The sequence below is a fragment of the Homo sapiens genome, chromosome 8 (genome assembly GCF_000001405.40).
Source record: "Homo sapiens chromosome 8, GRCh38.p14 Primary Assembly".
NCBI lineage: Eukaryota > Metazoa > Chordata > Mammalia > Primates > Hominidae > Homo > Homo sapiens.
The window spans coordinates 47326602-47339795 of NC_000008.11; the positions used below are offsets into that span (position 1 = coordinate 47326602).

General features: G+C 37.2%; 1 protein-coding gene across 54 annotated transcripts in view; it reads left to right on the forward strand.

Annotated features, from left to right (window-relative positions):
* SPIDR (scaffold protein involved in DNA repair) overlaps window positions 1-13194 on the forward strand; it is a 475429-nt gene that overhangs the window by 65724 nt on the left and 396511 nt on the right. Inside the window, exon 1 of one of the 54 annotated variants that reach the window (XM_047421647.1) lies at window positions 4138-4294. The exons of the other annotated variants lie outside the window; for them this stretch is intronic. The gene's annotated coding sequence lies outside the window, so the exon portion shown is untranslated. Of the gene's footprint in view, window positions 1-4137; window positions 4295-13194 lie in introns of those variants that run through there. 54 annotated transcript variants of the gene reach the window in all.

The following is a 13194-nucleotide window of genomic DNA, read 5'->3' on the forward strand; positions in this document are numbered from 1 at the left end:
ATCCATTCCGTATTCCCCACCTCATCTCAGTCCTTGGTAACACCAGTCTGCTTTCTGTCTCTGTAGTTTTACCTGTTCTGTTATTTCACATAAATGGAAATCATATAGCATGTGACCTTTTGTGTCTGGCTTCTTAACAAAATGTTTTTGAGGTTCCTCCACATTGTAGCATGTATCAGTACTTCATTCCTTTTTATAGCTGGATAATGTTCCATTGAATGTATATGCCACACGTTGTTTAGCCATTCATCCACTGATGTGTATTTATTTCCTCCCTTTGGCTACTGTGAATAGAGCTGCTAGAACCCTGGTTTACACATTTCGGAGTACCTGTTTTCAGTTCTCTTGGATATATATGAAGGAGTGAAATTGCTGGACTATATGGTAATTTTATGTTACTCTTTGAAAAACTACCTGTTTTCTGCAATGACTGAACCATTTTACATTCCTGTTAGCAACGCACAAAGGTTTCAGTTTCTCCACATCCCTTGCCAGCACTTACATTATGGTCTCTTCTACCCACTTAAAAAAAAAATCCTAGTGGCTGTGAAATGATACCTTATTAAGGTTTTGGTTTGCAATTCTCTAATAGCTAATGATGATGAGCACTGTTTCATGTGGTGGTTGGTGATCTGAATATCTTCTTGGAAAAAATATCTATTCAAGTTTTTTGTTGATTTCTTTTTCTGGTTGTGTTATAAGAGAATGATCTATATATTCTGGATACTAGACCCTTGTCAAATATATGACTGGCAAATGTTTTCTCATATTCAGTAGGTGGTTTTTTCACTTTTTTTTTTTTTTTTTTGAGACAGGGTTTTAATTTTGTTGCCCAGCTAGAGTGCACTGGCACAATCATGGCTCACTATAGCACTACAGCCCCAACTTCCCCAGGCTCAGGTAATTCTCCCACCTCAGCCTCTCGAGTAGCTGGGACTACAGGCACGCACCAGCACACTTGGCTAATTTTTTCCCCCTCGAGGCAGAGTCCTGTTCTGTTGCCCAGGTTGGAGTGGAGTGGCGCAATCTTGGCTCATTACAACCTCCACCTCCTGTGTTTAAGTGATTCTCCTGTCTCAGCCTCCCAAGTAGCTGGGATTACAGGCACGTGCCACCATGCCTGGCTAATTTTTGTATTTTTAGTAGACACGGGGTTTCACCATGTTGGCCAGGCTGATCTCAAACTCCAGACCTCAGGTGATCCACTTGTCTTGGCCTCCCAAAGTGCTGGGATTATAGGCATAAGCCACTACACCTGACCTGATTTTTGTATTTTTGTAGAGATAGGGTTTCGCCATGTTGCTCAGGCTTGTCTTGAACCCCTGAGCTGAAGCGATCCACCCACCTTGGCCTTCGAAAGTGCTGGGATTACAGGCATGAGCCACGACCCCTGGCCGTGTTTTTTTTTTGGTTTTTTTTTTTCACTTTTTTGACAATATTCTTGGATGCACAATAGTTTTTAGTTTTGAAAAAAGTTCAGTTTATCTATTATTTCTTCTGTTGCTCATAATCTTGGTGTCATATCTAAGAAACAATTGCCAAATCCACGATCATGAAGATCTATTATCTATGTTTTCTTAGGTTTTTGCTCTTCTATTTAGGCCATTGATGTATTTTGAATTAATTTTTGTGTATGGTGTGAGGCAGGTGGTCCAACTACATTTTTTTTTTTAAAGAGATAAAGTCTTGCTCTGTCACTCAGGCTGGAGTGCAGTGGCATTATCATAGCTTACTGCAGCCTTGAACCTCTGGGCCCAAGTGATCCGCTCACCTCGACCTCTCAAATAGCTAAGACTTCACCAAGACTGGCTAATTATTTTTTTTTTTTTTTTCAGAGATGGGGTCTTGCTATGTTATCCAGGTTGTTCTCAAACTCCTGGCTTCAAGTGATCCTCCCACCTAAGCCTCCCAAAGTGTTGGTGATAACAAGCGTGAGCCACCACGTTGGGTACCAACTTCATTTTTTTGAATATGGAAATCCGGTTGTCCCAGCACCATTTGTTGAAAAGATTATTCTTTCCTTACTGGCAGGTCGTGACACCCTTGTTTAGTGTATTGTATCTCTTATGCAGAGCATACAGTGGAATCTTCACTTTTTTATCCTGCATGACAGTCTCTACCTTTGGCTGGGTTAATTTATGTACATTTAATGTTATTGTTGATATAGTTGCATCTATGTACACCAGTTTACTTTTTCTTTTTCTAAATGTTTCAGGGTTTTTTTTCTCAAGTCTTTCCTCATTTCTTTTACTTTAAAGCAGTATTTTCTTTGGCAATATTTAGTTCTTCTAATGTCATTTTCACAATTTTTTTTTTCTTTTTGGAAACAGCATCTTGCTCTGTTGCACAGGCTAGAGTGCAGTGGCAGAATGTTGGCTCATGGCAAACTCCACTTCCTGGGTTCAAGCAATTCTCGTGCCTCAGTCTCCTGAGTAGCTGGGATTACAGGCATGCGCCACCATGCCTAGCTAATTTTTTTTTTTTTTTGAGATGGAGTCTCACTCTGTCGCCCAGGCTGGAGTGCAGTGGTGTAATCTCAGCTCACTGCAACCTCCGCCTCCTGGGTTCACGCCATTCTCCTGCCTCAGCCTCCCGAGTAGCTGGGACTACAGGCACCCGCCACCACGCCCGGCTGATTTTTTTGTATTTTTAGTAGAGATGGGGTTTCACCGTGTTAGCCAGGATGGTCTCGATCTCCTGACCTCATGATCCGCCCGCCTCAGCCTCCCAAAGTGCTGGGATTACAGGCGTGAGCCACCGCGCCCGACCCAATTTTTGTATTTTTTTGTAGAGACAGGGTTTCACCATGTTGGCCAGGCTGGTCTCTAACTCCTAGCCTCAAGTGGTCTGTCCACCTTGGCCTCGCAACGTGTTGTATTACAGGTGTGAGCCACTGTACCCAGCCTACAATATGTTTTTGAGTGAGATTTCATGGGTTGCTTTAGTGCTTATCAGGTACATCTCAACCAAATCTTCCTTAGATTTGTTACTAGTTTTATGCCAGTCACGCATAGAAACATTACCACTATATGGCTCTACTTTCTCTTCCTCCTTTTTATGCTATTATTGTTATACATATTGTATCTGTTATAATTATTAGTATAATTTTGTCTTTTATAGAAGGGAAAAGAAAGGAGAGCAAGTATACGTTTATAGTGTTAGATGACCCTTCTTATTTACCATTTTTTGTTCTCTTCATTGGTTCCTATGGAATCCTGTTACCATCTGGTGGTGTTTCCTTAGTTTGGTAAAGCTTTGTTCCCACCCACCACTCTTCTGTTACTCACAGATATATGACATTTCTATATGTTATAGGTACAATAGTACAATTACGTACATATTTTGTGCAGTTTTTTAAAATCAGCTAAGAAAACAAATACGCACATATGCTGAGTTTTAATTAGATAATTACTTTTACTGACACCCAGATTTTTCATGTGGACTTGTGTGGATTCTTAGGTCACTTTCCTTCAGCCTTAAGAAATTCTGTGTGTATATTTTATCAGGTGGGTCTGCAAGCAATAATCAGTTTTTGTTTATCTAAAAATGTATTTATCATGCCTTCATTTTTTTGGTGGTGGTGCTTTTCTTAAGGTGCTTTTTTTTTTTAAAGCATCTTTAGTTTTACAGAAAAACTGAAAGGAAGGTACAGAGGTATCCCATAATTCCCTCCCCCACATATGCATAGCTTTCCTATTATCAACATATCCCCCACCAGAATGGTATATTTGTTACAGTTGATGAACCCGTGTATACACATCTTTCTTACGCAAAGTCACTAGTTTCTATCAGGGTTAATTCTTGGCGTTGTATATTCTGTGAGTTTGAACAAATGTATAAAAATATATGTCTACCATTATGTCATACAGAGCAGTGACACTGCACTAAAAATCCTCTGTGCTCTGCCTAGTAATCATTCTCTCCACCCTAATCTCTCGAAACCACTGATCTTTTTACCATCTCTATAGTTTTGCCTTATCCAGAATGTCATACAGTTGGAATCATATAGTATGGCTTTTTTGGAGTGCCTTCTTTCACTTAGTAATATGTATTGAACTTTCCTCCATGTCTTTTCATAGCTTGATAACTTATTTCTTTTCAGCACTGAATTATGTTCCATTGTCTGGATATAACACTTTATCCATTCATCTACCAAGAGACATCTGGGTTGCTTCTAGGTTTTGGCAATTATGATTGAAGGTGCTATAAACATACATTTGGAAGTTTCCGTGTGGAGATAAACTTTCAACTCCTTTGAGTAGATACCAAGCAGAGCAACTATTGGATTGTATTGGTAAGAGTATTTTTAGTTTTATAAGAAACTGCCAAACTGTCTTCCAAAGTGGCTGTAACATTTTGCATTCCCACCAGCAAAAGAGTTCCTGTTGCTCCATATTCTTGTCAGCATTTGGTGGTGTCAGTGTTAGGAATTTTAGCCATTCTAGTAAGTATGTCATGATATCTCAGTGTTGTTTAAATTTGCATTTCTCTGGTAATATATGATGTGGAGCATCTTTTCTTGTACTTATTTGCCATCTGTATCTGTATCTTCTTTGGAGAGATATCTGTTAAGGCTTTTGGCCAATTATTAGTTTCTAAGGTAAAGCTTAGATTATTGATTTTGATCATTTTTCTTTTTTAAAGCAGTCAGATGTCATTTAGTGATCAGAATACATCCTGAAGAAATGTGTCATTATTAGGTGATTTTGTCCTTGTGCGAACATCATAGAGTGTTCTTACTCAAACCTAGGTGGTTTAGTCTACTACACACCTACACTATATGGTTAAGCCTATATCTAGGCTGCAAACCTTTATAGCATTTTACTGTACTGGATACTGTAGACAATTGGAACACAAAGGTAGTTATTTATGTATCTAAGCATAGAAAAGGTACATTATAATATGGCATAAAAGATAAACAGTGGTATACATGTATAGGGCACTTACCATGAATGGAGCTTGTAGAACTGAAAGGTGCTCTGGGTGAGTCAGTGAGTGAGTGTTGAGTGAATGTGAAGGCCTAGGACATTACCATACACTACTATCAACTTTATAAACATAGTACACTTAGACTACACTAAACTTATTTTTAAAAATTTTCTTTCTTCAATAATAAATTAATCTTAGCTTACTGTAACGTTTTTACTTCTTCTTCATTTTTTTCACTTTTTGACTCTTTAGTAATACCACTTTGTAATAGCTCTTTTGTAATAACACTTAGCTTAAAACATAAACATATTGTTCAGCTGTACAGAAGTATTTTTTTTTGAGAGAGAGTCTCTGTTGTCCAGGCTGGAGTGCAGTGGCGTGATCTCAGCTTATATATTCTGTCAGCTTTTTTCTATTTAAAAAATTTTTTTAAACTTTTTTTTTTTTTTTTTTTTTCTCTTTTTTTTTTTTTTTTTTTTTTATTATACTCTAAGTTTTAGGGTACATGTGCACATTGTGCAGGTTAGTTACATATGTATACATGTGCCATGCTGGTGCGCTGCACCCACTAATGTGTCATCTAGCATTAGGTATATCTCCCAATGCTATCCCTCCCCCCTCCCCCGACCCCACCACAGTCCCCAGAGTGTGATATTCCCCTTCCTGTGTCCATGTGATCTCATTGTTCAATTCCCACCTATGAGTGAGAATATGCGGTGTTTGGTTTTTTGTTCTTGCGATAGTTTACTGAGAATGATGGTTTCCAATTTCATCCATGTCCCTACAAAGGATATGAACTCATCATTTTTTATGGCTGCATAGTATTCCATGGTGTATATGTGCCACATTTTCTTAATCCAGTCTATCATTGTTGGACATTTGGGTTGGTTCCAAGTCTTTGCTATTGTGAATAATGCCGCAATAAACATACGTGTGCATGTGTCTTTATAGCAGCATGATTTATACTCATTTGGGTATATACCCAGTAATGGGATGGCTGGGTCAAATGGTATTTCTAGTTCTAGATCCCTGAGGAATCGCCACACTGACTTCCACAATGGTTGAACTAGTTTACAGTCCCACCAACAGTGTAAAAGTGTTCCTATTTCTCCACATCCTCTCCAGCACCTGTTGTTTCCTGACTTTTTAATGATTGCCATTCTAAATGGTGTGAGATGATATCTCATAGTGGTTTTGATTTGCATTTCTCTGATGGCCAGTGATGATGAGCATTTCTTCATGTGTTTTTTGGCTGCATAAATGTCTTCTTTTGAGAAGTGTCTGTTCATGTCCTTCGCCCACTTTTTGATGGGGTTGTTTGTTTTTTTCTTGTAAATTTGTTTGAGTTCATTGTAGATTCTGGATATTAGCCCTTTGTCAGATGAGTAGGTTGCAAAAATTTTCTCCCATGTTGTAGGTTGCCTGTTCACTCTGATGGTAGTTTCTTTTGCTGTGCAGAAGCTCTTTAGTTTAATTAGATCCCATTTGTCAATTTTGTCTTTTGTTGCCATTGCTTTTGTTAAAAACTAAGGCACAGACACACACATTAGCCTAGGTCTACACAGGGTCAGGATCATCAGTATCACTGTCTTCCACCTCCGTATCTTATTCCACTGAAAGGTCTTCAGGGGCAGTAACACTCATGGAGCTGTCATCTTGTATGATATCAGTGCCTTCTTCTGGAATACCTCCTGAAGGGATCTGCTTGAGGATCTTGAGGATGTTTTACAGTTAACTTAAGAAAAATAAGTGAAAGGAGCATACTTTATTATTATTGTTATTATTTTTTTAGATGGAGTCTTGCTCTGTAACCCAGTCTGGAATGCAGTGGTGCAATCTTGGCTCACTGCAACCTCGGCCTCCTGGGTTCAAGCAATTCTCCTGTCTCAGCCTCCCGAGTAGCTGGGATTACAGGCATGCACCACTACACCTGGCTAATTTTTTTGTATTTTTAGTAGAGACAGGGTTTCACCATGTTGGCCAGGCTGGTCTCAAACTCCTGACCTCAGGTGATCCCCACCTCAGCCTCCCAAAGTTCTGGGATTACAGGCATGAGCCACCACACCTGGCCATGGAATATACTTCAAAATAATGATAAAAAGTATAGTATAGTAAATACATAGATTAGTACCATAGTCATTATCAAACACATACATAATTATATGTGCTATAGTTTTATACAGCTGGCAGCATACAGTAAGTCTGTTTACAACAGCTTCACCATGAACATGTGAAAAATGCATTGCACTATAAGGTTACAACTGCCATGACATCATTAGGTAATAGGAATTTCAGCTCCATTGTAATCTTACAAGACCAGCGTTGTATATGAGGTGTGTTCATTGACAAAAACATCATTATGTGGCATGTGACTGTATATGCGTTTAGTGCTATAAATTTCTCCTCTAAGCATTGCTTTCACTACATCCCACAAATTTTGGTAAGTTGTGTATTATTTTCATATAGTTGAAAACGTTTATAAATTTCTCATCAGATTTCTTCTTTGACCCATGTGTATTTAGAAGTATTTTGTTTAGTTTTCACATATTTTGGGATGTTCCATGTATCTTTCTGTTAATTGATCTTTATTTTGATCTTAGAGAAGATGTTATATAATTTCTGTTTTTAAAAATTTGTTAACATGTATTTTATGGCCTAGAATGTTATCTGTTTTGATGAATGTTCCATGTAATCTAGAGGATATGTATTCTGCTATTGTTGGATGAAGTGGTCTATAAATGTCAATTATATCCAGTTGATAGGTGGTGTTATTGTGTTCAAATATATCTTTATGGATTTTCTGCCTGCTAAATCTGTCCATTTCTGTGAGAGATCTTGAAGTCTCGGATTATGATAGTGGACTAATTTATTTCACTTTGCAGTTTGTTTTTACTTTATGTTAACACTCTGTTGATAGGTATATACATGTAAAGGATTGTTGTGTCTTCTTGGACAATTGAATCCTTTATCATTGGGTAATGCCCCTCTTTATCCTTGATAACTTTCCTTGCTTTAAGTGTATTCTGCCTGAAATTAATAGGCTACTCCTGCTTTTCTTTGGTTAATGTTAGCATGATATATCTTTCTTCAATCCATTTACTTTTAGTTTATATGTATCTTTACATATGAAGTGAGTTTCTTGTAGACAACATGCAGTTGGCTCTTGTTTTTTATTGCATTTTGACAATTTGTCTTTTAATTGGTGTGTTGACTTTTAAAATCATCATTGGTATAATTGGATTAATATCTACCATATTTGTTACTGGTTTCTATTTGTTGTTCTTGTCCTTTGTTCTTATTTTTATTTTCCACTCTTTGAGCATTTTATATGATTCTATTTTTTTCTCATTTTCTTAGTATATCCCTTACACTTCTTTCTTAGCTTTTAAAATGGTTGCCTTAGAGTTTGCAGTATACATTTACAACTAATGCAAGCCAACTTTCCAATAACACTGTTACACATTTACAGATAATGTGGAGTATAATAGCAAAATTATCCTAATTTCTCCTTCTGTTCCTGGCATTCATTTTACTTACATGTAAGCATACATAAATACATATAAGAGCATACATAATTGAATACATGTTGCTGTTACTATTTTGACCAAACCATTATCTGTTAGGTCAATTAAGAATAAAAAAATAAAATTTTACTGTCTAATTTATTCCTTCATCAGCTCTTCCTTTCTTTATGTAGAACTGAATTTCCGACCTATATTATTTTCTTTCTTCTGTAGAACTTCTTTTAATACTTCTTGCAAGGCAGTTTTTTTGGCAACAAAGTGACTCAATTTTTGTTCATCTGACAAGATATTTTTCCTTCAGTTTTGAAGTATGATTTTACTCACTACAGAATTCTAGATTGGTAATTTTTTTTCTCACAACAGTTCATTCTTTGTTTATGTGGTTTTTTGTTTGTTTGTTTTGGTTTCTTTTTGAAATGGGAGTCTCGTTCTCTTGCCCAGGCTGGAGTGCAGTGGTGCAATCTCAGCTTACTGCAACCTCCACCTCCCAGGTTCAAGTGATTCTCTTGCCTCAGCCTCCCGAGTAGCTAGGATTACAGGTGTGCACCACCATATCTGGCTAATTTTTATATTTTTAGTAAAGACGGGGTTTTGCCATGGTGGCCAGGCTGGTCTTGAACTCCTGGCCTCAAGTGATACACCCACGTCGGCCTCCCAAAGTGGGGATTACAGGCGTGAGCCACCATGCCCAGGCCTCTCACAACAGTTTAAACATTTCAGTCTACTCTTGCTTGCACTGTTTCTGAGAAGAAGTTGTTATCTTTGCTTCTCTGTAAATAAGGTGTTTTCACCCCCTTCAACTTCCTTCAGAAATTTGTTTTTGTTAGATTTTTCTGTAGTTGAAAAATGATATGCCTAAGTTTTTGCTTTTTTTTTTTTAATTCTGCATTTGTCTAGCTTGCTGTTCTTAGTTTCTCGGATCTGTGTGTGGTTTGGTGTGTAACAGTAATTTGGGGAGATTCTCAGTCATTGTTGTTTCAAATATTTCTAATGTCCCTTTTTCTCTGCTTCTGGTATTCCCATTAAGTGTACATTTTATTATAGTTTTCCCACACTTCTTAGATACTCTATTTTTTTCAGTCTCTTCCCTGTTTGCTTTTCGGTTTTGGAGGTTAGTAGTAGTCCATTGTATAGATGTAGCACATTTTAAAAATCTGTTCACCACTTGTTTTATGTTTGGTGTTTTTACACTTTTTGGCTGTTATGAATACTGTTGCTCTGAAATTGATCCACAAGTTTTTCTGTGAACATACTGTTACTGAAACACCAGGGGTTTGGTCTAGGTCCTGTTGCTTGCCGCACAGAAAGCCAGTGACTGAGACAAAGAGTATTGCCAAAGAAGAAGGCTTTAATTGGGTGCTATGGCTGGGGAGATGGGAGCTCAGTCTTAAATCCCTCTCCCTGACCAACTAAAATTAGGGGTTTAGGTAGCAGGAAAAAATGTAACAATGTGTAACAAAACAGGAGCTAGGGAGGGGCAAGGAAGCAATCATGATGAAGCTTCCAGCATCTCATTGTTTGGATGTGGTGATCTGGTGAATTTCAGTTCTTTGATATTTTTTGAGAGCAGAAGGTCATTTCCTGAGGAAGAAACTCAGAGCAGAAGGTTGTTCCCTGAGGAAGGAACTCAGATAAATATAAGTTTTAAGCTTAAAATAATTTCTATGTTTGTATTAAAAAACTGTGGGACTGTTGGAGTTGGTTTCAATATGTGTGCAGTTCTCTTGTATATATACCTAGAAGTCAAATTGTTAGATCATGTTATCTTTGTATTTCACTTTTTAAGGAACTGACATTTTTCTCTGAAGTGGCTGCACTGTTCTGCATTCCCACTAGAAATGTTTGAGGGTCTGCAGTTTCTCCATATTCTTATCAACACAGCCCTTCACCTCACTTTTCATTATAGCATTCTAAGTGGGTGTGGAATGGTATCTTTTTTGTTTTGATTTGCATTTCTCTAATGGCTAAGGATATTTTCATGTGCTTATTGGCCATTTGTATATGTTCTTTGGAGAAACGTCTATTTAAATTCTTTGCCCATTTTTCAATTGGCTTGTGTGTGTGTGTTTTGTTTGGTTTTGCTTCTTTTTTGAGACAGAGTCTTGCTCTATCACCCAGGCTGGAGTGCAGGGGTCTGATGATAACTTACGACAGCCTCGACCTCCTGGGTTCAACCTGACCTTCCACCTCTGCCTCCTGAGTAACTGGGACTACAGAGGGGCCTACCACCACCTCTGGCTAATTGTTTAATTTTTTTGTAGAGACAAGGTTCTGCTGTGTTGCCCAGGCTTGTCTTGAACTTCTGGACTCAAGTGATCTTCCTGCCTCAGCCTCCCAAAGTGCTGGGATTATAAGCATGAGCCACCACACCTGGCCTTTATTTGTGTTTTTATTATTGACTTGTCAGAGTTCCGTATGTATTCGGTGTACAAGTCTTTTTTTTTCCCAGATGTATGATTTGTAAATATTTTTTCCCATCATTGGGTTTTATTTTCACCTCCTTAATACCATCTTTTTTTCCATAAAAGTTTTTGTTTTTAGTATGTTTTTGGTTGCTGCTGCTTTTTGTGTCACATGTAAGAAACCATTGTTTAAAAAAAAAAAAAAAGGTCATGAAGATTTATACCTGTGTTTTCTTCTAAGATCTTTATAGTTTCAGCTTTTCAATTAGGTGTATGGTCCGTTTTGAATTAACTTTTTTGGTAGTGTGTTAGGTAGGTGTCCAGATTTATTACTTTGCATGTGAATATTCAGCTGTTGTAGCACCATGTTTTAAGCAGAGTGTTCTTTTAGTATTTCAAGGTCATGGCACCCTTGTGAAAAATTAGTTTACTGTAGGTGTATAGGTTTATTTCTGGATTTTCTATTCAGTTCCATTGGTCTATATGTCTATCCTCATGTCAGTTTCACCTTACCTTAATTAATGTAATTTTATAATAGGTTTTAAAATTGGAAAGTGAGAGTCCTATAACTTTGATTTCTTTTTCAAGGTTGTTTTGGTTCTTCTTATTCTTTTGTGTCTCTATATGAAGTTTAGAGTAAGCTTTTCCATTTCTGTACTCTTATCCCCAGCCTGTAGGTCTCTTGCCTGTCCCTTTCCTGGTGGTGGTGTGTGGGAGGCCACAGGTGCATTCCAAATGGAAAGAGATTACATTCTTGTAATGATCTAGTGGTAAGCTTGGCCTGAAGATTTCAAGATGGGACATGGTTAAAAGATATGTTGTTCTACTTTTATGGTATGAAATTCCCCATATAAATTTAACATGACCAGAAAGTTTGAAATTGTCAAATGAAACACAATAACTACCTTTGAGAGAGTCATTGGAAGTTTGTATTCGTATATATTACAGTGGAAGATGCAGCATCATTAGTAATGATTGAACCAGCATTAAATAAATGGCATTAATGAACTGCAGCAGATATATGTTGTTTCAATACTAACATGTCATGGGAGCCATGGCATTGTGAGCAATACTAGTGTTGTTGCCTTTTTCTTGGGTGAAAGTTAGGAAATCAGCCAGGAAAAGCAGATAGAACAATGAAGAACTTAGAGATGGTGCCTGGACACTTTGAAGAAAGTTCTTGTGCATGATTGAACAATAAATAAATACTTAAGAGTATCTATTTTCTATCTAATGTTCTAAAACTTTATTGAAAAATCATTCTAGTGTCCATTGGCCCATCATTTTGTAATATACTTTAAAATCAAATTATTTATACATAAAGAGGCCTCACAAAAAATTATTTGCCCAGGGCTTCCACGTATCCTAAGGGTAGTCCTGCTCAAATTTATGTTAGTAGATACCATCCCAGCTGTTGTGGGGGGGTCAGCCTTGACGTCTTTCAGCCTAAATGGCTTAATGTAGGTGAGAATAGGGAATTACTTTTAAGAGTAAAGGACAAAATGAATAAAATCAATTGAGCTTGCATTGTTGTAGTTTAGATAAAAGTACTACTTAGAGTGAACCTTCATGAGCAAGAGGTCACTATTAACTAGATCTTTGAATTTGTCTTAGTACAACTGCTCAGAGGGATTTTAAATATTTAACATTTCCGTTTTAAATATCATCTTTCAGAAATGATTCACCATTCAAGAATTAAGATTTAACACAGAATCATGGGATTAGATTTTTGGAAGTTTAGCGATTTTCTGCCTTTTTTAGAAAAAACAAACTGAAAATGTTCTAGGTTGTGCTTTGATAAGATTGCCCCTTCTGTTTAATTTACTGTGTTTCTACTGAGAACGAATTTACTATGATCCTACTATTTTTCTATGGAGAACTAACCTAACATGCTCCTATTAAAAACTAATTCCCCATGTGTGTGTGATTGTAGCCAGAGAAAAATATTTGAAGATGAAAATTTATTTACCATTCTTTTTATGTAATTAACCTATATCTTAATAATTTCCATGTTTTTTTCGCTTACCTGGAGAAGATCAGTAGATGAGAGTGAACTAAGTACTGGGGCTTGTGAAAATGGGTATTTATTTAAAAAACCCACAAGATAAGGATATTCTTTGCATTTAGAGGACTGTTTAGAGTGAAAAGGAAAACTCACTTTTTTATTTAAAACAAAAACTTTAAGCTGAATACATGTTGAGCATAACATAACTGTTTACAATCTTTTTTTTTTTTTTTTTTGAGGTGGAGTCTCGCACTGTCGCCTGGACTGGAGTGCAATGGTGTGATCTCGGCTCACTGCAACCTTTGCCTCCCAGGTTCAAGCAAGTCTCCTGCCT